Genomic DNA, 23,727 nt, shown 5'->3' with positions numbered 1-23,727 from the left:
GAAAGTGTCTCCAGTCATTGTGGGAGAGAGGTGGAACTTGACTATGAAAATATTGGGTCAGGGCCCTGATAAAAGAACCACAACATTGGGAAGAAATTGTAAGAGTGACAGAAACAGAAGCCTATTTAGGAAGACCAAACTAGCACATCAAAAGTACAGACTCACTCTGAGAAGATTTATGTAGAATTTCTCCAGGCTGCCACAAGCAGGTCATGCAGAAATGTGTTTAGAGCATCGACCTCTGGTCACAGGGACTTGAGTTTGAAGCTGGCTCTTGACATGCAATATGTGTGACTTTGGAAGTTATTTAGTCCTCTTGCATGCTTCAAGTTTGTGTCACTCAGGATGCTTTCAGCAGTAACTAATAAAACAAAAAAATTCATTCAGATTGACTAACAAAAACAAAAAAAATCTAATTCAGATAGACATTGGCTCATTTAACTGGAAATCCTTCCTAGTTGTGTCATGAAGGCAAAATGTCTGTAGCAATTTCTGCATTCATATCTGAGCAGTATTTAATTGAGAAGAAATGAAAGATTTGATTCCAAGTAAAGGAAAATGTTTCCTGGGAGCCCTCAAGCAAGCCTTCAGCCTGAATTGGATCACATGCCTATTTCTCAACAAATTCTTAGAACCAGGCAGTACCATGAGCTGAACATTTTAGGCCTAAGTTCCTGAACAAATCATTGGCAAGGTATGGAGTTACTATTAAACCAATTAGGACCTCTCCTACAGGTAAAATCGTCAGTTTCCTGTTCTGTAGGTGTTTGGTCTATGTTGGGAGGAGGTGACTATCTGAACCAAATCAGGGTTCTGAGAGAAAGAAAAAATTAGGAAACAGAACCCAGACAGGCAGCTGATATTAGCACCTATAAGATTCCTCATTTATGAAAGGGAAATAATGCCCACCTTGGAAACTGTTGGGAGGAATAAGTGAGTTAATTTATAAGAAGCACATAGCACAGTCCTTAGCTCAGTATATGTGGTGGTTGTAGTTTCTATTATGATGACTATATTGTTTTCTCCATTTCCTCCTAGCTCTGCATCTAAACCCACTTGCTTCATCATTCTGTCCCCTCACTTGCTTTATCCCTGGTATTTGAGTCTCTGAGTCTTGGCCCACTATCTATTCATCAATTCATGTATTTAGTTCTTGACATTAGGTTTGCTGCTTGCATTTATTCAAGAAACAGGTAGAACAGTATCATTCTTTAAAGATGAAGGCTCAGATTTCATCAAAGTCAACAAACACACAATTCTAGGAAGAAAGAGGAATACACAATTCAGTAAGACTAAGCCATGGACTCTGCAAAGTTCATTTACTTACTGATGTCCAGCAGTGGGACTAGCACATGATTGGTGTGTAGTTAACTTGTTGAATTAAACTGATACCTATTGAGTGTAATGGGTGCACAAATAGTCAATGTAAAGCAAGTTGTGATAAGTACAACACCAAAGATATGAATAAAGTGTTTTAGAAGTTGATAAGAGTTGATGTAGAAATACTAATTTAAAGCGGTGTGTGATTTGGAAAGGTTTCTTGTAGGAGTTGGAATCTGAGCAAGAGGGTGAAGAATTCTAGCACAACTTTAGGCCAATGCATGTACATGCTCAATTTCCAACCACCAGATGTACTCTTGTATCCCATATGTCCATTCTACACATGAAATAATTTTAGACAGTTAAACTTTATCAATTGCTTATCTTGGAAAGCTTTTTGATTTTAGTTGGATGAAAATTGATGTTCAGGGAAGTTTTCACTAAATATCACATACTCTGCCTATTAAGTAATAAGTTCTGAAACAGATACCAGATGAAAGGCATTCAGGAATCAGTATTCAAAATTGCTTTCTACCACATGTATGTGTAATTTCTTGATGAGGCAAGGCAATGTTTTACAGAGTTTCCTGCGGTCTTCAGAATTTGCTTTTTCAGGTCACACAACCCTATTTATTATTTCACATTTGGTTTGCCCTCAGAAATGAAAAAAGGCTTAAAGATAACAAGATGAATACTTGGAAGTTATAGAAAACCTGGCCTCATTTTTAAGCCAGAAATAACTTGTAGCACAAGTTAAAAAGTCAAAATAACAGAGTTTATAAGGGAAAAATCAGCAAAGTCCTGCAGTTTTAACTAAGTGACCATTGCTATGAAAACAACATTGCCACCAACTGGTATAATTTTTTTGTCATTCATTATCACGCCTAGCAGAAAAACATATTGTGTGAATGTAGACAGCATAGGAAGAGATCCAACTGGCAATTGTTGTATCTCAACATATTATGCATGGCAGTGAAAACCCAAAATGGATTTCAGTTCTCCAGACACTCGATCTTTGTAGTATATTTTAACAACAAAAGATAGAGCTTCTAGTTCCAAGCATACCAAGTATGTTTTCATAATTTTTGTCTCAGTGTGTAGTTCTCAATTTTTTTAAAGAAAGTAGGTGGTAGAAAAAAACTCCAGCATAGACTGAATCTCCATAGTGTTTTGACAACATTTGTCAGAAGTATAATTCCTATCACATGAGATATTTAAAATATTATTCTCATTCCATCATAGATGTGAAAGAATTTTTTAAGCATAAAATAAGAAATATGGTTAAATTCAGAAAATTTATTCAGGAGATAATCATTTTAATGAGATATCAAATTTGGTATATTTCCTTTGCAATTCAACCACAACACTGTGTGAGTGATAAGGCCAAGTTGACATGGACTGTACACAACTATTCATTGACAAAACAAATGCCTATTTTTTATTGTATAAAAGGTCAATGTGGTGTGTAATTGGAAAGAAAAGATTTGGAAGTTAAGTATCTGGGACACCCCCTTTTTAGAAGCTCTAAGTGGAGAATATAAAGCTACAATGTTTTTGACTTTTTAAAATAGTTACCATGGTAACAACTCTGTAAAATATGTAAAGAGACATTGAGATTTACTAGAAAAGAAGGCCTAGAAACCTTCCATGAATATCATCCTGAGTTTTCTATTCTCCAGCCTGTGTGCAGAAGTATACACACACTTTCCTCCTCTTCCCTTTTCACCTGTGATACACACATCCACATACATTATGTGTGTGTATCCACCTCTGGATTTCAATTCACAATAACCTAAAGATCACAGGTGAAGAATCTTGTTATCTTGTTATTTATTAACAAAGAAGCTAGCTTAAGAGACCTTGAGTTCTAGAAGCTGTATTATTCCATCCAGATAACCTTCAACATAAAAACAAAATGAAAATTAAATGAACTAAGAATAAGACCTCTTAAGGAGTTAGATTTTGTTTCCAGAGTCCAGACTGTCCTGTCCAACTCCATGAACAATCAGGGACCAGATCTTCAGCCAGGTTAGAGCATCTCAGAATCTTGCGTGGGACATGGGATATAATGCCAACAGTTTACAGCTTGTAGAGCTAAAGGTGTTTATTCCATAAACAGTGACTGAACATACATGCTACATATTTTTCTAGGTTCGGGATATCAGTTAATAAAATAGAAATTAAATTCCTTATCCTTGAAGCTTATACTCTAAAGAGAGGAGTCAGGTAATAAACAATAAACATAATGGGTAAATGGTATGGTAAGTTAGAAGGTGATAAAATGTTGTGGAGGCTGGGTGCGGTGGCTCACGCCTGTAATCCTAGCACTTTGGGACACTAAGGCAGGCGGAACACCTGAGCTCAGGAGTTCTAGACCAGCTTGGGCAATGTGGCAAAACCCCATCTCTACTGAAAATACAAAACTTAGCTGGGTGTGGTGGCATGTGCCTGTAGTTCCAGCTACTAGGGAGGCTGAGACAGGATAATTGCTTGAGCCTGGGACACAGAAGTTGCAGTGAGATGAGATCATCCATTGCAATCCAGCCTGGGCAGCAGAGCAAGAACTTGTCTCAAAAAAAAAAAAATACTATGGAAAAAAGAAAAGAGAATTAGAAATACGAATGTATTAACCATGTTACTAACTTCTGTAAAGTTGGTGCTTTACCATCTGCCCTACATGCATATGCTGGACACACCTTGTTCTGGACAACCCAGTGATATGCCTGAATTGCCTAGCCTGAGACTCCTGCCTCCCTGATGGTCCCCCAACTCTACTCCTGAGGGTGTGCTTTTCAAATATAAACCACCCAACCAAGAGTCCACACCCCTAACCACATTCCTTGTTGGGCTCTCATTCTCCGGGGTACTACATATCTGCCTTAATCACCCCAGGGCCAGGTGCCAGATCACTAGAAACAACTCCTATGTCCCAGAACCTGCTGAAGTTCTTCAAATTGCCAATCTGAAGTCTGTTTGCCCTGCTTTGTCCATTCCTTCCTGCAGAACCCAGAATAAAGGCTCTTGTCCTTAGTTCCCCTCACTCCTTCTACCTTGTGACTGGCCGTAATGCTTCCCTATGGTGGATGCTCTGGGAACTGTGAGTAACAAATTATATTTTCAGTGGAAAATGGCAATCAATTTCTACTCTGTTGGCCTTTCTGTCAAATTTTCCCTATATTTTAGTATAACAGGCAGGAAGCATATTAATATGCTCTATGCTATATTTAATACACTATATTTTATTTATTTATTTATTTATTTATTTATTTTGAGATGGAGTCTCACTCTGTCGCCCAGGCTGGAGTGTAGTGGCGCGATCTCGGCTCACTGCAAGCTCCACCTCCCAGGTTCACGCCATTCTCCTGCCTCAGCCTCCCATGTAGCTGGGGCTACAGGCACCCGCCACCACGCCTGGCTAATTTTTTGTATTTTTAGTAGAGACGGGGTTTCACTGTGTTAGCCAGGATGGTGTCGATCTCCTGACCTCGTGATCCACCCGCCTCGGCCTCCCAAAGTGCTGAGATTACAGGCATAAGCCACCACACCCGGCCTCTTAATATACTATATTTTAAAACAATAGGCATGGAGTAGTGAGTTGGATAATCAGGTAGGACGCCTTGTGAAAGGGACAAATACTCGAAGACTCTAGAGAGAAGTAAGGATTCCTGTGGACAACTGGGGGAAGAACATCTAGGGAGAGGGACCAGCTCACTCAAACACCCCTGGTGGTTTATGCCTGCTGAGTCTGAAGAATAGTGAGGAGGACAATATGACAGGCTGAGTAAGCAGAAGAACAGAATGTTAAGAGGGCTTAAGGAGCTAAATGGGGCTAGACCAGGTGAAACCTTGTAGTTCACTGGAAAGACTTTGACCTTTACTTCCCAAGAGTGAAAGAAAGAGTTATTAACATGAAATTTCAAGAAGTTCCAGATGAAAGAAAATCACCATACCAAAGAACTGGCAAACAAGAAAATCCAATGGAGAATGGATGTATCCCATAGTTTATGCGAGAAGCCTTCTTCCTGTCAGCGCTTGGATTGGAAGCTGCTTTATTCAGTCAAACACAATGGAGGCAGAACACACAACTCCCCGTAACAACATGAAGAGAAGAGAGATGAGAATAAGGCAAGGCTTAAAGTCACACAAAATGGCAGCCTGGGGAAGGGAAAGTGAACAGCTGAGAGAGGATCCTGAAGCAATCTTCAGAATAAAAATAAACTATTGGGAACTTGGGGGATTTTTCCCCCTCAGGACCATAAACATACTGAAAATACTCAAAGGGGTGGTTTAAAAGTATGAGTCAATGAAGCTGGAACAAAGGTAAAAGCAATGGTAATAGAGAAGAGGAGACAAATATGGGAATTACTTTTAAGCTAAAAGGACATGTTGAGTAATAAAGAAAGATCTGTTGTAGGACACTGGAAGTTTGTAGCAGAAGATTCAGAGAATGTCACAGCCTCATCAAAGGTGTGTAAATACATCAGAGAAACAGGACAGTTAAAAGGAGAGTACTAGGACATGTTAAGTCTGAGTAAATGGTGATGTTTTGAACTTCAAGAAAATAAATAGGGATTCCTGAAGAAGGAAGTGGAGGAAGAGGGGGAAGTCAAAAGTGGCAAATGCTACACAAAAATCAGAATATCGAAAACAGAAAATAGGACATTAAATGGACAATTAGAAAGACAATGGTGACCTTGATCAAAGCATTGGCAGGAAGGGGTGGTAATGGGCAAAATCTAGACCAAGAAGATTAGAAACACAGAGGTTTAGTAAAAATGTATACTCTGGAAACACACACACAAACACACACACACTTTTTCTCCCCTTCTTTTGCCAGCTTCCTAAGCATTCTCCTATGGAATTACCCCTACTTTCAGTACCAGTCTTAAAGGTCTCATTCTCAAATCGTGTTTCTTGACTCTGCCTAAGGCGTGTGATAACAAACAGTGCTTATTTCCCTTAGCTATTTGATAGATTTTTTGCACTTTAATAAGAAAATCAAAAAAATTAAAAAGAACACATAATACAAAATAATTAGGTATATTTGTATTATTTAAATCTTGAATCTATTTCTAATCAAGCCCCTTTATTTATCTTCGATATATCTCTTTGTTCCTTTTTTTTTCTAGATTGCTTACTGCGAAGGTTTTATTTTTATTTGTTACTTTAAAGAAAGAACTTTTGACTTTATTTCTTACTATTGTATATTATTCCTGTTTCATTACCTTCTCCTATTTATATTAATTTCTTCTTTCTATTTTCTTTGGTTTTATTCTGTATGTCTTTTCCTAACTTCTTTAGTTGAATGTTTAGCTCATTAATTTTCAGGTTTTTTTCTTTTCATGCTATATATTTCTCTATATGTAATTCTCAAAATACCTACAAGTATGAATGTGTAGTATTTTCTTTATTTTTTAGTTTCAAAGAATATCAAGGCCCGGCCTGGTGGCTCACACCTGTGATCGCAGCACTTTGGGAGGCCGAGGTTGGTGGATCACCTGAGGTCAGGAGTTCGAGACCAGCCTGGCCAACTTGGTGAAACCCCATCTCTGCCAACCAAAAATACAATAATCAGCCGGGTGTGGTGGCATCTGCCTGTAATCCTAGCTACTCAGGAGGCTGAGGCAGGAGAATCATTTGAACCCGGGAGGCAGAGGTTGCAGTGAGCTGAGATTGTGCCACTGCACTCCAGCCTGGGTGACAGAGCAAGACTCTGTCTCAATAAAATTAATAAAATAAAATTAAATAAAGAATATCAAATATCTAAAAGATTTTTTGTACCAATTATATAGAAGCTGTTCAAAAAATTTTCTAAATGAATGAGATAACTGATTTCAAAGTCAATTGCTTTGTAGTCAATGCAACCTGGTCTGAATATTTTCAAGCTTCTGAAATGTATTAAGATTTCCTTTGCAATATATAGTACACGGTTCGTTGTTGTAAATACTCTGTGTGAAGAATATGTATTCTCTGATTCCTTAACTCAGGACCCTATGTATACCTTTAAATAAGACTCATTAACTGTGTTGTCAGAGTCATCTATATTCATCAATTACCGAGAGAGAGATATGTTAAAAATCACTCACTCTAATGAGAAATTGTACAATTTCTCCCTGTAGTACAGTCATTCTTTGCTTTATGCATCTCAGAATCAGCGTATCATCTGCCCACTCAATATTTGAATTGAGCACATAAAATATTTTTTGTTAATTAAACTTATTATAACTTTGCGCTTGGAGTCATTTCCAAGGATACAGGATAAGAGGGAGGATATTCCATTAAGCAGAAAACCCTCACTGCCCTGCCTCTAGGTGGTTGATATTGGTGGAGTTCCTTTCCTTTTCATTATGGACCAGGCAGAGACAACAGCTGAAGCTGAGAGTTGGAATTTTTGCTCCACTCTCAGGTGGAGATTCTTCCTTCAGTGCTGTGGCTAGAGTAGGTCCTTTCAGTGGATGAAAGTTTCTCCTTACTTCTTTAGGGAAAATGATTGTGAGACTGTCTTTGCAACTGACAGCAGTCAGACATGACACAAACATGAGATGCCCCTGGATTGAAGTCTCAGCCCCATCTTTACTCACCACGTGATACTGAGATATTCAATCAACCTCTCTCTGTAAGCTTCACTTTAACCAGCTCTAAATTGGTAGGAGGGAAAGGTGTTTAGGTTGAGAAAGAGAGTATTATAATTATTTAAGATAATCTGCAGAAATCCTACATCAGGATACCTGGAAAACACAGTCACTGAATAGACCTCAGTCAGCATTTATTTGCTTCTTTCTCTCTCATTTGTTTTAGTTTACAGGCTGAATTTGGTGGTGGTAGGAGAGAGACAAACTCCTAGATCTGTCCATGAGCTGTGAGAAACAAGCATCATCTTTCAGTGGAGTCCTGCTGCATCCTGGGACACAGTTTCTCAGGATTGGCTCAAGGCCACTCTTCAGTAAAACCATCTTACTCCTACCATGGGGAAATCATGCACTTTTCCCATCCATTTCTGCCATGACACACAGAGCCACTATTTGTTCAGATGAAAATGACATTATTTGCCATGAATCTTCCTAGAAAGTAACTCAACCACAGAGTTCCATGCTTGTTTCCCATACATGAAACTTAACATATATACATGAAGAAAAGTTGGGACTATATTTGCTTGGGCCACCGTAACAAAATACTTCACACTGAAGAGCTTAAACAACAGAAATTTATTTTCTCACTGTTCTGGAGACTAGGAGTCTAAGATCAGGGTGCCAGCATAGTTGGGGTCTGGAAGCGGCACGCTTTCTCTCTTGCAAATGGGCATCTTCTCTCTGTGTCCTCACATAGCAGAGAAAGGGAGTCCCAACTCTTTGCTGCCTCTTCTAATAAGGGCACTAATCCTGCCATGAGGGTCATACCCTTATAACCCCATCTAAACCTAATTATCTCCCAAAGGCCCCATCTCCAAATACCACTGCATTGGGGTTAAGCCTTCAACATATGAATATTGTAGAAACATAATTCAGTCCATAACAGACATCAAGTAATTACTCCATTTGGTCTTTGACTCACAAAATCCTAAAGCCATGCATTTACTGCGCATGTTACAGGCCTGCCAAAAACTACCTCAATTTAACCTATTTAAAAAAAAATCCTTTGAGCATCCAATACAGAGCAGCTGAAAAAGCAGGTTCCTTTAAAAATTTGATTCACTGAAAATGAGAGATGCTGTGGCATGTGTGCGGCTATCCAATTCAGAAAATGTTTGCCTTAAAGAAATACTTCTCCTTACCAGAAAACAATGGAGAGGGGCATTTGCAGTTCCAACTTCTTTAACTACATTTGTTTTTAAATCAAACACTTGTAAAATGTGTCAAATTATAAAGGCAACCTGACTTAAGCTCTGCAGTGTAATTTACTGATTTTTCACTCACCTTGCTGAAACTTACAGTCCAGCTCTTGAGAAAGTGGATGTTGCTGAACCCTAAGCAGCTAGGGTTTGGGGAATAGTATAGAGAGAAAAGAGAAGTTCCAGCTGGAGATACTGTCTTCATCTCTGAATTCCTGTGGGGATATGTCTATCACCTCTTCTCAGGCATGTATCACTTTAGCTTTGATATAGAAGGTATTTACGTGTGGCTGACAATTTCATGTCCCAGTGGATAGAGGAAATGAATGTGGAAAAGCACTTACATTTGACCAATGAGAAAGAATTGGTTGGTGAAGTGGATGTGACAGGAACTGGGAAGAAAATGTTCTTCTTACATACACTGTTCTCATTTCTATGACAATCAAGACAATCAATTTCAAACAGTCTATCTTGACACCCCCAAAAGCACATAGGTATTTGTCAGGTTACATTTCCTGGTTTGAGTTCCAGGTAATTTGGTCTGAAACTGGGTTCATTTCCATTTTCGGTGTTTTGGGCTGACTTCTTTAAGACTAGAAAATCTAATGCAGTGACTCAGAATAGAGAATCAGTACATTTGTTTTGTTAAATAGATAATAAAAACTTGAAACTAGGAAGAGGCTCATGAATACAAAAATCTGAACCCTTCCTGTTTTCTCCTCTTAGGGAAGTAAAGTTAGAATTTCTGCCTAACTTTATCATCTCCTTCTGCTTTATACTAACACCTAAGGCAAAACAAACAACAAATATTGATTGATGTTTCTATGGGCTAGGGAGGAGAGCTCAAATTTCTAGCACCTAAATGCTAGGCAATGTATTTGACATTTTTTGCATGCCATTTAATCTTCAAAATAACTCTACAAAATGAAAATTAATATTTGTCATATAACTGAAGAGAAAGCTAAGATTGATGGAGATTGGCCAGGCTCATGCCTGTAATCCAAGCACTTCGGGAGGTTGAGCGGGATGGATCACTTGAGGACAGAAGTTCAAGACCAGACTGTCTAACTTAGTGAAACCTCCTCTCTACTAAAAATACAAAAAAATTAGCTGGGCATGGTGGCAGGTGCCTGTAATCCCAGCTACTCCTGAAGCTGAGGCACGAGAATCACTTGAATCCAGGAGGCGGAGGGTGCAGTGAGCCGAGATCGCACCACTGCACTCCAGCCTGGGCAACAGAGCAAGACTCCGTCTCAAAAAATAAGAAATAAGTAAATATTGATGGATATTGAGCAGAGCTAGGATTCCAATATTAAAAACCTCTAAGCTAAGTGCCTTGACAGGATATAAAGCAATACTCATTCTGAACCTCACTGAAGCTGTATGGCCTAATTAGGGGGACTCACAGGCTTTTTCAAACTTAGAACTCAAAGATCTCAGCATCTAATCTACTAAGTTTGTCATAGACATGAAACAAAAGCACAGATTCCTACAGAAGCGGGACAGGGACCAAACAGCTAGTAATAGCCAGTCAGTCTAGAAATAGGGCCTCCTGACTCACAGGTTGGCAGGGTGATGTGCCTTATTTAGTCTTCTCACTGCGTCTTCCATGTATTCGGGAAACAAGGATGGTGACACATGGTCCCCTCTGTTCATACTTTAGTTGGGAAGAAAGAATATGGCAAGTAATCACAACACAATGTTAGACTAGAGAAAGGGAATAAGAAGCTCTATTAATGAGAGCATTTCTTAGTATTCTTGCCTGCTAGTGAGATTAAGTCAACTCTATCTAGTTAGGCCAAAAATACTGGTGAAATTCAGGGAAGATTTAAATAACCAATGTAATAGAACAGGGTGGCCTACGGACTTCATGTATGGCTAGAATGGGGAACATAAACACTGCCGTGACTCTCTAATTATTTTTTCTTTTACACCTTTGTGTATTTTAGCTTCACTGTCTCTCACTTCAGAGCTATAGGCAGGAAGTGTGGAGGCACACAGGTCCCAAAAGCAGTCATGTCCTTCCAACTCAGTGCTTGTTATCCCCACTTCAAACCCTTTCTTCCAGTCACATTGAAATAACCCTGGTTCTCAAGGTAATACACTTTCTTGCTGACTTGAAGATCTTTTTTGTATGATATTTCCTCTACCTCAAATGTTCTTCTACTTCCTGGTCTTTAATAAATGCTCTTCATCCTCAGATATCAGCTTAGAAATCACTTCTTTCACAGACCCCACTAATCCAGGTTAAGTTCTCCTCTTTTCATATCACTAGAGTGGTGTCTACCTAATCTTTCTAGCTCTTTATCACAATATGGGGAATTTTTTTCAAAAAATAAATCTCTTCTACTAGATTGTTAACTCTTTTGGGGTAGGGACTATGTCTCTCTCATTCAGAGTTATAATCTAAATTTGTAACATAGTACCTGACATATAGTATCCACACATATGTGTTGAATTAATGAATACAATGAATATGTAGTAAATGAAGCAAAGCTTCTGTAAATGTCTGAATGACCCATGTTCTCTCAGGTGTTTTCATGTTTAATACATCATCTTGGAATGCACTCCCCTTTGATGTTTCTGGCCAACCATTCCCAGAGCAGCAGTCGTCCCCTCTAGAAAAGCTTCTCCATATCCCTCTCCACCTCCCAAAGCTATTTCTGTTGCCATACTTCATTCTTCCGACTTCTATAATGGATAGATTTTCTGTTCTCCTCCACCAGTTTATGAGCCCTTCCAGAACAATGTCCTGTTTGTCTTTGCAAACCAGCTCCTAACATTTAGTAGACAAAATACATTCTCATTTAATGCACTGTATGTAAATGATAGATGGATGATTATAACAAGCTATTTGAATATTTATCTGTAAATGTTACATTGACTCTGTTAGAAAATTGCCTTTTAACACAGTTTTTTAAATCACTTCTTAGACACTGGCCACATTACCAGTATATGATGCTATTCTTGTCTCAAAATCAAGGCACTGAAGTCTGCCATTTGGGACCTGTTGAGGGACCTGTGAAAATCAATTTCCTACAATAAATTGTCTTAAGCTAAAGGTCAACACACTTAAACTGAAACTCAAAGGTTTCTTTAAATTCACTGAAACAAGCCCTTTCATTTGGCATATGCTTCCCAAGACAAATTTTCTCTTCCAAAATTGGAAGAGGCCACATCTATGTTTTAACACTGATTTGTGAATATTCCCTGGAATAATTTATATCTTTTTAGTTTTGTTTGTTTGTTTTGTTTTGTTTTTTTTTTTTTGAAACAGAGTTTTGTTCTTGTTGCCCAGGCTGGAGTGCAATGGCATGATTTCGGCTCACTGCAAGCTCTGCTTCCTGGCTTCAGGTGATTCTCCTGCCTCAGCAAGTAGCTGGGATTACAAGAGCGTGCCGCCACGCCCAGCTAATTTTTGTTGTTAGTAGAGACAGGGCTTTGCCATGTTGGCCATGCTCGTCTTGAACTCCTGACCTCAGGTGATCTGCCAGCCTCTGCCTTACAAAGTGCTGAGATTACAGGCATGAGCCATCGTGCCTGGCCCCTTTTAATGTTATGGTTTATGAACTTATTAAAGTGCAAAGATTTTATGATCTTTCTAACTGTAGAATAGCATAGCTTGTTTATTAAACTGCAGAGTCACTGTAGAGGTCCTGATTCTTTGATTTAGCTTACTATAAAGTAGGAATAAATAAACCAATCAATAAGTAAATTTAAGTATCTTTAACTTTGCTGATTGTGACCACTCATCTATGGGATTTGGCCCACGTGAAGCAGATCACAGAATGTGGTTGCTTCTACTGTTTTCCATAGGAAATCCAGTCATGTTCATAACCCTATACTACTTATTAGATCTGTTCTGTGAAGATTACATGGTGGTTCTAAGACCCTGGAAAGATCAGCTTTTGGATAATAGAAAGTAATTATTGCAGCTTCTAGTTATGCTTTCCACTTTGGAAAGTCACTGCTCACAACAACAGAAAAAAGAGAAGAGGTTTAACACCAACATTTAAATGCTCTGGCCCAGAGGCAACATGTCACGTTTGCCCAATATCATAAGCTGGAAATACTCATATAACAACACCTAACCCCAAAGTAACACAGAAATCCTCAAACATACCTAGAAGTAGAGGGGAACCAGATATCAGAAAAGAACAATGATGTCTGCAACTCTAATCTTCACCAAGTGAACAAATAAATTGAAAAAAATTTCCTTCAAAGACATCATTGATTGAAGAAAATACTGCAAATGCAAGCGCAAAATGTGAACACGAATAAGAAAAAAGTCAAAGTTGATTTTCTTCCTCCTATTCCTACTATTAGTAAAATAAACAATAAGCTCATAAAATCAAATGTAAAGTCAGATATCCAATTAATGACATTATTAAGAATACTTTGATATCTGTGGTCATTAAAAATGATCCTTGCCCTGCATGTATATTTGCCAATGATAGTAGTACATGTACTTGATTTACAAATTAATATCTACACCTAGGTAGATAACTAAATTATAAGCCTACATTAAAAGCTTTCTCTCTCTCTCTCCATCCCTCCCTTCCTTTCTCTCCCTCTGTGTACATATCTATGTATATATAGATAATGCAAATAATGTAAAATAAATATGTGTGTGAATAAGTGTTATAGCGATCTGAAACTTGGACCTGTTAAGAACACTATTTCTGAGAAACTATTTTACATGGAAACCTCAGAAATGTGCTGAGTTACTGTAGACCAGTCATTTACGTCCAATGATAAGATAGCAATGTATTCAGAATATGTGGAACATTTAGAGAAGGGTGAATAGATATGGTGCGGAATAGGAGGTCATGGGAATGACAAAAGCAAATGTCTCATACCCAGTTGAATTTACCTTTTGATTTGGTATTTTCATCAGCCACTATATGTCTGTGTAGGGAAATTTGAGAGATTTGGGGAGTGTGTACCTCCCTCTGGGAGCATGAAAATCAGTATCTTTTGCCATTTAAGAAACACTTCAGTCTTGGATTTTGTCTGTTGACATCTTTTCATCAGTTATATTATTCTTAAGTTGTGAAAATGACACAGTTGAAATGCCAAAGTCAATACAAGCACTGGATATTTCTATTTTTTTTAATTTTGCAAACTTTTTTATTTTTTTGCTGGAAAAGGATCTAGCCAGGTTGTCTAGATAATTCTATATGAGAATATTGAAAAAAAAAGAAAGAAAGTGAGTATCTCAGGAAGTAAGTGAAAGCCCATCGATCACAAGAAAGAAGAAAATAACACTGGGTGATTTAAAAGGAGGAGAAATTTAATGTGTATCAAAATGCCCCTAACAATGAACATTTAAATTCACTAAGATATTCTCATCAAGCAGGCTTGAATTTTTATAATTTAAGGAGGGAGGGAGGGAGGAAAGGAAGGAAGGAAATAACAGGAATTCTAGGAGATATATTTTGGCAGAGATTTAATCTAAGTATGATTTCCCCCAAAACTGTTTTCAGTATTGATAGTTTGAGGTTCAAATACATGGTAATAAGAAAATAACAATATTTTAAAAATTATTATCTAACTTTTTTCTACTCATTTTTATAGTCTTCAAAATGAAGTTTAAAAAATTCATTCATGCAACTGAAAACATGCTAACACTTTAATGAATTTTTAAAAATATATTATTTTCCACCTTCTTGGTATCCTTCAACTAGATCCATGAGGGCAAAACACTACTTGGTTGACCAATCCTTGGATTATTAGTGACTGGAGTCACTGTGAGTTTCTAAAGGTCAAGCTAAAATTATGAACAAACTATTGTCTTCATGGACACAGCAGTTTGCCAAATAAGGCAGGTAACAACATTTTTGTTACTCCAAGGTTAATGAACATGGATGTTATTAACAATAAATACAAAACATTCTTTTGGAAACTTATTCAATTCTATTTAGTGTTAGTTGCAGATTCTTTTCTTCCACACAAATCTAGATAAGAAGTTGCTTAATAAATAAAGGAGAAATTACAGAATCAAAGTTGTTAGGACACAAAATAAGCAGAAATAGAGTTTGTTTTTCCTGTAGTGTTTGTTTCATTAGTTTTACTTCAAATTTTGGAAGTTTATGTCTTATGAAGCATGTGATATTTTATGAAGCTCCCAAAAATAGAATAACCCTTTTTGTTGCTTACTTTTGTCAGACTGCAATAAAAAAAAAAGGGAAGTACGTTAACTCAGCAAATAGAAACATTGTTCTGTGTACTTGTATCTTTGGGGATTCTGGGAATAAGCATTTCTAAGAGTAGAAACGAGCATTTGATGGGATAATTTATTTTACTTCTTATTGGAAAATCAATCTTTCAGAGAGAAACAGGTTTTATTTGTTTGCTTGCTTTGTTTTTTAAACAAACCAGCATAATGCATTTTTATATTTGTATTTGTATTTCGATTGCCTTTTTTAACTTGGGATTTGTATTTGTGTGCATAATAAGTTGCTACAAATAATACCTAAGAGACAGAAACAAAGTAAAATAACTTGGATTGAATTTATTTTATTGATTATAAGAATGATTTCTATTCACATTACAAGAAAGTATTGTCTATCTAGCATTTCCAAGTTATTGCCTGAGAAAGGCATCAATCTGTGAAGGTCAGAAGCTCTTGCTGGTAGAAGGGACCCTAGAGATTAGCAAATACTACCTCTGCCACTAACGTTTCTCCATGCACCATTTGGTTCAGAATCAACTGAGGTGAGTACTAAGAGGGCCCTCTCCATATCAGACCTACAGATCACAATTTGCAAGAATAGCATGCTCCCTAACATTCGAGAAAAAATCTAATTATTTTTCACATGTCCGCTCTTCAGATATTGAAGATGAATATTGTGTTGCTACTAAACATTTTCTTTCTAAATACCCTGCATCCAAGTATAGTTAAATATCTGATGAAAAATGTGCAGTTGACTAATATGTATCAAACAAGATATAAAAGGCAAGAAAGAGATTAGCATTGGGGCAGTTATTAGTAAGAATTTATGACTCCTTGTTTCTAGGATACTAAAACTAAAAGGCAATTACCTTGGACCAGGGGTCCCCAGCCCCTGGGCCATCGACCAGTACTGGTCCCTGGTCTGTTAGGAACTGGGCCGCACGGCAGGAAGAGAGTGGTGGACAAGCCAGCATTACCACCTGAGCTCTTCCTCCTGTCAGATCAGCAGCGGCATTAGATTCTCATAGGAGCACAAATTCTATTATGAACTGCCCTTGTGAGGAATCTAGGTTGCATGCTCCTTATGAGAATCTAACTGATGCCTGATTTTCTGAGGCAGAACAGTTTCAACCTGAAACCATCCCTTCCCCCAACCCTCATCTGTGGAAAAATTGTCTTCCACAAAACTGGTCCCCGGTGCCAGAAAGTTTGGGGACTGCTGCATTAGATGATACATGCAAAACATTTAGCATGGTGTTAGGTACACAGAGAGCATGTCATAAATCCCGGGCAGTAGCAGAGCAGAAGTAGAAACAGCAGCAGGGGTGGTAAGAGTGGTCATGGAGGTGATGATAGCAATGGTAGTGTTCCACAGACGTCCTTCCTCCCTTTCTTCCTTCCTCCCTCCCTCCCTCCCTTTCTTCCTTCCTCCCTCCCTCCCTTCCTTCTTTCCTTCCTTCCTCCCTCTCTGCCTTTCTCCTTCCTCCTTTCCTTCCTCCCTCCCTGCCTTTCTCCTTCCTTCCTTCCTCCCCCCTCCTTCCTTCCTCCCCCCTCCTTCCTTCCTCCCTCCCTTCCTTCCTTCCTCCCCCCTCCTTCCTCCCTCCCTCCCTTCCTTCCTTCTTTCCTTCCTTCCTCCCTCCCTGCCTTTCTCCTTCCTTCCTTCCTCCCCCCTCCTTCCTTCCTCCCTCCCTTCCTTCCTTCCTCCCCCCTCCTTCCTTCCTCCCTCCCTTCCTTCCTTTCTCCCCCCTTCCTTCCTCCCTCCTTCCCTTCCTTCCTGCCTTCCTTTCCTTCCTTCCTCCCTCCCTTTCACCTTCCTTCCTTCCTTCCTCCCTTTCTCCTTCCTTCCTCCCTCCCTCCCTTCCTTCCTCCCCCCTCCTTCCTTCCTCCCCCCTCCTTCCTTCCTCCCCCCTCCTTCCTTCCTCCCTCCCTTCCTTCCTTCCTCCCCCCTCCTTCCTTCCTCCCTCCCTTCCTTCCTTTCTCCCCCCTTCCTTCCTCCCTCCTTCCCTTCCTTCCTGCCTTCCTTTCCTTCCTTCCTCCCTCCCTTTCACCTTCCTTCCTTCCTTCCTCCCTTTCTCCTTCCTTCCTCCCTCCCTCCCTTCCTTCCTCCCCCCTCCTTCCTTCCTCCCCCCTCCTTCCTTCCTCCCCCCTCCTTCCTTCCTCCCTCCCTTCCTTCCTTCCTCCCCCCTCCTTCCTTCCTCCCTCCCTTCCTTCCTTTCTCCCCCCTTCCTTCCTCCCTCCTTCCCTTCCTTCCTGCCTTCCTTTCCTTCCTTCCTCACTCCCTTTCACCTTCCTTCCTCCCTCCCTGCCTTTCTCCTTCCTTCCTTCCTCCCCCCTCCTTCCTTCCTCCCCCCTCCTTCCTTCCTCCCCCCTCCTTCCTTCCTCCCTCCCTTCCTTCCTTCCTCCCCCCTCCTTCCTTCCTCCCTCCCTTCCTTCCTTTCTCCCCCCTTCCTTCCTCCCTCCTTCCCTTCCTTCCTGCCTTCCTTTCCTTCCTTCCTCCCTCCCTTTCACCTTCCTTCCTTCCTTCCTCCCTTTCTCCTTCCTTCCTCCCTCCCTCCCTTCCTTCCTTCCCTCCTTGCTTCTTTCCTTCCTCCCTCCTCCATCCATCCCTTCCTCCCTCATTTTCTTCCTCCCTGCCTTCCTTCTAAAATCCTCACATATTTTTGTAATTTATTTTTAAGACTGTTTTTAAGCCATATATGCACTTAACAAATCAACAGTAACAAAACAACATAAACCAATTTTAATAAGGAAGCAAAACTCTTTTGCACACCCCAGTAAACACTACCAAGTCTGGTTACACAGTGGCATTCATTCTTAGCATTGTTTTTGGCTCTTCTGATAATTTTCCTCCTGACATTAAGTGACATGTTCATAACTCTATTTCTTGATTTATCATTTTTAGACCACAAATAATGACTCCACAATATGATGACTTAGCTCTTTTAAACTTCTGCTTTCTCCCTTCTCTTCCTTCTCAAGGTTAACATTCATATACTTTTCCCGTTCTTCAAATGGCCCCCTTTGTAATACTAAGTAATAGACCTATGCCTCCATTTCTGTTCCACTCACTTTCGACTGTATCTCTTGGTTTTCCACAATATGAAATGAAGATTTTTAGCAGCACTTCCTTTATTTAAAAGAAAAGACTCATCAGCTCCTCTGCTTCCATTCTTCCGTTATTTTTTTAGATGCACATTCACTTAACACGGCTACATTTTGTTCTGCCACTGCATTCGTGAATTCTAAGTGTTGTTTGTAAAATAACCCTAAAAGGGGTTGAGTGTGGTGGCTCACGCTGTAATCCCAGCACTTTGGGAGGCCGAGGCGGGTGGATCGCCTGAGATCAGGAGTTCGAGACCAGCCTGACCAACATGGTGAAACCCCGTCTCTACTAAAAATACAAAAATTAGCCAGGCGCGGTCATGGGAACCTCTAATTTCAGCTACTCGGTAGGCTGAGGCAGGAGAATTCTTTGAACCCAAGAGGCGGAGGTTGCAGTGAGCCAAGATCGGGCCATGGCACTCCAACCTGGGCAACAAGAGTGAAGTTCTGTCTCAAAAAAAAAAAAAAAAAAAAGATAATAATATAAAATAAATAAGTAAATAACTGTAAAAGGTGCAAAGCGATAAACAGTGTTTGATAATTATGGCTTGTTAAGGTCATGTTTGCTTTTCTATAGGTTCTATATTGGATTCCTGGAGCTATTACTGAGGGAGATTCTTCCATATTATTTGATGTGTCACTTCATGTATACATGACTTGGACAAACATTTGAGACAAATTAGGAAAAGTCAATATGCAGAGAAGGAGGGAAGTGGGAAGGAAGAGAAGCAAGAATACTCTGTGGATATGAAAATCCCTTCACCGCTGCTACTGCTTCTCACTCTGCGACTACTGCTAGCATTGCAGTCAATGCAGCCTGCTTTCCTATATTCGGTCGACTGCTGAAAATCAGCACGTGTGTTATTTTACTTTCTCTTTTAAATTTATTTTTTAAAATTCTAGTTACCTTTCTTTTATTCTTGTATTATTTGCCTTGATACTATTAATTAAATGTTATTTGCCTCACTTTTTTTCATCAATCTTTTAATCTCACTATCTAGGCTTATTCTACTATTTTTTATTTTTTCCCCTAGAAAATTCCCTCTCTATTGTTATTCTTCAATGCACACCATTTGCTCTCCAGGCCCACTGTAGAGAATCCACCACTTCTCTGCTAGTGTAGGTCCACTGCTTCTTGCATGCCTTCATCTTTCTCTGTTTATTTTCTGTATGTAATACACATGCTTCTTCACCTATGCTAGCTTTATGTCTCAATAAACCCATCATAAGTTGAAAATATCATAAGTTGAAAATGCATTTAATATACTTAACCTATTGAACAGTATAGTTTTGCCCAGTCTATCTTAACCATGCTTGGAACACATACATTTGGGCAAAATCATCTAACACAAAACCTATTTTATAATAAAGTGTTGAATATCTCAACACTGTGTTAAACTGTGTTAAACGGTGTTTACACTGTGTTAAACAGTAGTTGTAATCAGATTTTTAAATGGAGAAAAAGATTATTTTTATGTCAATAAATCTTTTCTAATATGTACAAATGAGTTTTTTGAAAACTAATTTAAAAAACCTAAATTCTTTTTGAGGCTCAAAATGAGCTACAAATTAAAGTATACAAGTGATATTTCCCTTGTAGCCACCCTGCTACCATTTTTTTACAAAGATATCCACCCGCATAAAAGATAATTTAATGTAGTTGCTGCTATAGCAACTGAATGTTCCTTCCCGTACAAGACGCCTAAGGGCAAAAACTTGCAAGACTGACAATTCTCCTGGTAGTTCCTGACTATATCAAAGCTGAAAGACAGAACTAGTTTTTCTTAAAGATGTTTTTTCTCAGGGTCTCAGATCTCAGATCTTTGGACTCAGATTTGAATCCTGCCTCATACTCTGAATGAAGCAAACATTGTCTCCAATGCAGTTATACTTTTCAGCTTTGATGTGGATTTTGAAATTGCATAATCAAATTCTCATGCCACTTCATATCCTTTCAAAGTTGACTTTTCAAATCACCCTCACTGAAGTCAACATTTTTTCCTATGAGTGGTTGAACTAAGTGAATCCAGGAGGAAGGCCAGAAACTGGATCATTGTTAAGACAAGAATAATGATAGCAGCCATTATTTACCGGGTGCCCAATAAATGTAAGGCACAATGCTAATCTCTTTGCATAAATTATTTCATTATATCTTTATGAAAACCTTATCAGTTGGACGAGAAAGAAAAAAGGAAAGAGGGTGGGAGGAAAGAAGCAGGGAAGGAAAGGAAAAAGACAGGGAGCCCATTTAGCCTAATTTCCCATAATATTGGGTGAAAACCACCACTGCAGTGTGAAATATTTTACTCCAGGATATTTCAGCTAAGGGAACAGTATCTACAAAGCTCAGAGGTCAGCAAGAGCTTGGAGAAGATGTTCTCAATGGCAAAGGGTAGAAGCTGATAAACTGATTTTACCAACTTTAGACATCCGTCTAATGAAGAACCTACCAAATTCAGATATGTACATTTTATTTGTATGTGCATGTATCCTTGAATGAGATTCATAATTCATAACGCAAAATGTTATAAAGCTGACCAAAAGATGTCTTAGCAATGCCTAAAGCCAAGTCATGGACAAAAAATATATACAGAAGGAGTTTGCATTATGTAATATATACAAGCAATTATGAAGGACAACCAAGGGTTGTCAGTTTCCAGTTCCTTCACACATGGAAACTGGAGATAATCCTTAACTTGAGGGGGTTGGTGGCGAAAGGAAGAGTCTTTCCATTTTTCATAAAGACCAAGTGTCCTTATCAGAATCTCATGTTGACTTTGACTTGGTCAGGTGATGCGTTTCTGCATAAATGTATAAAGTCTTAATTCATCTTAGGCATTTGTTCAAAATATTTCCTAATTGATTTCTAATTGATTTCTACCAAAGTTGTAGCTCCCCACCAAATTTTGACGGTATTGGTTTATTCATTTAGTTAGTATTTATGGTACCTGCTCATCTATATAATTAATATTTATTGGACATCTATCATGCATTAAATACTGTACTAGGAAATTAGAGTGAGTAACAGAGATGCATCCTATAATTTATGAATGAGACACACAAATTGAAAATTACAATAGCTGGGTAATTATGAAAAATTACAGAAGCATATTGAAGGTGTCCTTGACCCAGGCTGGAGAAGAGGGAGGACGGAGATGTCAGAAGAGGTAATATTTAAGCTGAAATAAATAAAATTCTTTCAGTATACGAGAAAGAATGTTTCAGCTGAGGAAACAGCATAGAAAATCTCCAAGGGCCAGAGAGAACATGGTATTATCAAGCTGCAAGCATCTAGGAATGGCTAAACGTGTCAGTGGAGGGAGTGGCTAGAATCAAAACCCATGAGTTAGACAGGGGCATGAGCTTAGGGGGACTTGTAAACCATCATACAAAATTTGGAACTTCATCCTGGACAGCACTAATATTTGATAAGTTGTTTTAAGAAGATAAGTAACATGATTAGATGTGCTTTAGAAAGGTCACAACGGTTGCAGCGTTCCACTGGAATCAGAGGGGAAGTGGATTGAACGCACAAGGGCCATTCACAAGGCTCTTGCAGGACTCTAGTCCCTTGCTGCTGACAGTATGGTCCTTGAATCAGCAGCAGCGGCATCAGCTGGGTGCTTTATCAAGATGCAGAATCTCAGACTCCAGACTTACTGAATCAGAATCCATATATCCACATATTCCCCATGGGATGTGTACATACATAGAAGTTTGATATGTGCTATGCTACACAAGTGGTTTCAAACGTGGCAGGACATCAGTATGTGTCATTTAAGAAGCTTTAGCAAAATGGCAGTGTCCACATTTCCTCCTTCACCACATTTTAGCCAGGCTTCTCTAACCTTTTTCTTGACTAAGCCTCGACCTTGGCTTAGTCAAGACTTGAAAAAAACACTAACACAATTTCTAACAGCTCAAAGCTGTTGGAATGACCCTATTGCCCCTTAAAGTGCCTGCCTGAGAAAAGACAAGACTGCCAAAAAAACCTGCTATTTGTTCCAGCCAACACCTGAAGACAGGGCCCCTGCCTCCCAGTTTCTGTGGGAGCATAGGAGTCTAACTGATCAGTGCCAATTAACAAACCCAGAAGAGTTTAGATAGACCAACCCTCCCTTTCCACTTTTAGTAATTTTTCACTCCCCTGACTCTACTGACCTCCCAATGCTCCCCTCCCTATTCCCTCATTTTCCTTTAAAATTCCAAGTCACCTCTTTAAAAATTGAAGTCGGGTTCAGTTCATACGGGACTCTTTGTCCTACTGCAATAGTTATTATTGATTAAAATCTGTTTTCACCACTTGAACTAGCATCCAGCTTCATTTATCTTTCAGAGTCTCACTCCGAATTCTGATTTATTTGCAAACCAGTGGTTCTCAAATGTTGCCATGTATTATAATCACTTGAGGGCATTTTAAAGCTACTGATGTCAAAGCTACACCACAGACCAATTAAAAGCGGGCGAAAAAGATATATCTACACCAGAAAGATACATAGAAGAGAGAAGACTGACAAAACTTGGTGATTGACTGAATGTGGAGAATAACAGAGAAGTCAAGGATGGCACCCAAGTTTTCAGCTTGAGAAACTGGGAGAAGCATGACATCCATTAGCAATACCTAAGCACACCGGGTCTCCACCACGCACCTGGGGCAGCTGCAGTCGCTCATGAAATCCATGTTTTCTGTGCCTTGTGGCAATGGGAGAGGACCTTTGAATATATGTTGATAGGGAGAACACTTGCAAGGAATTGAAATTCTGAATGAGAAAAATAGATTTCCCCTATATACAGAAATATCCATTTTTACTTCCTGTGCAAACATTTAACTACTTCCTGCAGAGTTAGCTAAGCTGTAAGAAACTAATCAAACTGATTCTAATCATTTGTTTCCATGTATGATTCCACCATCAAACTATGAGTTCCTTAAATGTGCAATATCTTTGTATCCCCAAAGCACCTGTTATGCATAGTGGGTGTTTTTAAATGCTATTTGAATAAAGACATGTATGTTCAGTGAATAGAATATAGTTACCACAAAGGAATGATAAATCCTCTTTGATGTGGCTGTTTCAGAAATACCTTTTTTTCCCCCTTGAAACTGCTTGCGCCTTGTTTTCTGTCCGTTGTTGCCCACAGAAAGCTTGCAGGCAGCCACTGCCCATTAATGCTAAACACATTCATTGGTCCATGGGGATATTATTTCTGATGAACAATTAACACGCTTTGGCATGAAGCTGTCAAAGTCAATTGGTTTAAATCAAACTGAAATGTCAAAACATGTAGTATGGCTTATCTATCT

The 23,727-nt window shown here is 39.0% G+C and overlaps 1 long non-coding RNA gene across 3 annotated transcripts in view; it reads right to left on the bottom strand.

The window, feature by feature from the left end:
• LOC105374510 (uncharacterized) overlaps positions 1-23,727 on the bottom strand; it is a 428,164-nt gene that overhangs the window by 210,504 nt on the left and 193,933 nt on the right. For all 3 annotated transcript variants that reach the window (XR_001741602.2, XR_001741601.2, XR_925445.3), the window contains one exon: positions 166-361. This is a non-coding gene — a long non-coding RNA (uncharacterized LOC105374510). The remainder of the gene's footprint in view (positions 1-165; positions 362-23,727) is intronic.

This window comes from Homo sapiens, chromosome 4, assembly GCF_000001405.40.
Source record: "Homo sapiens chromosome 4, GRCh38.p14 Primary Assembly".
In the NCBI taxonomy this organism is placed as follows: Eukaryota; Metazoa; Chordata; class Mammalia; order Primates; family Hominidae; genus Homo; species Homo sapiens.
The sequence above is the reverse complement of the archived record's forward strand: the minus strand, read 5'-3'. Positions and strand labels throughout refer to the sequence as shown.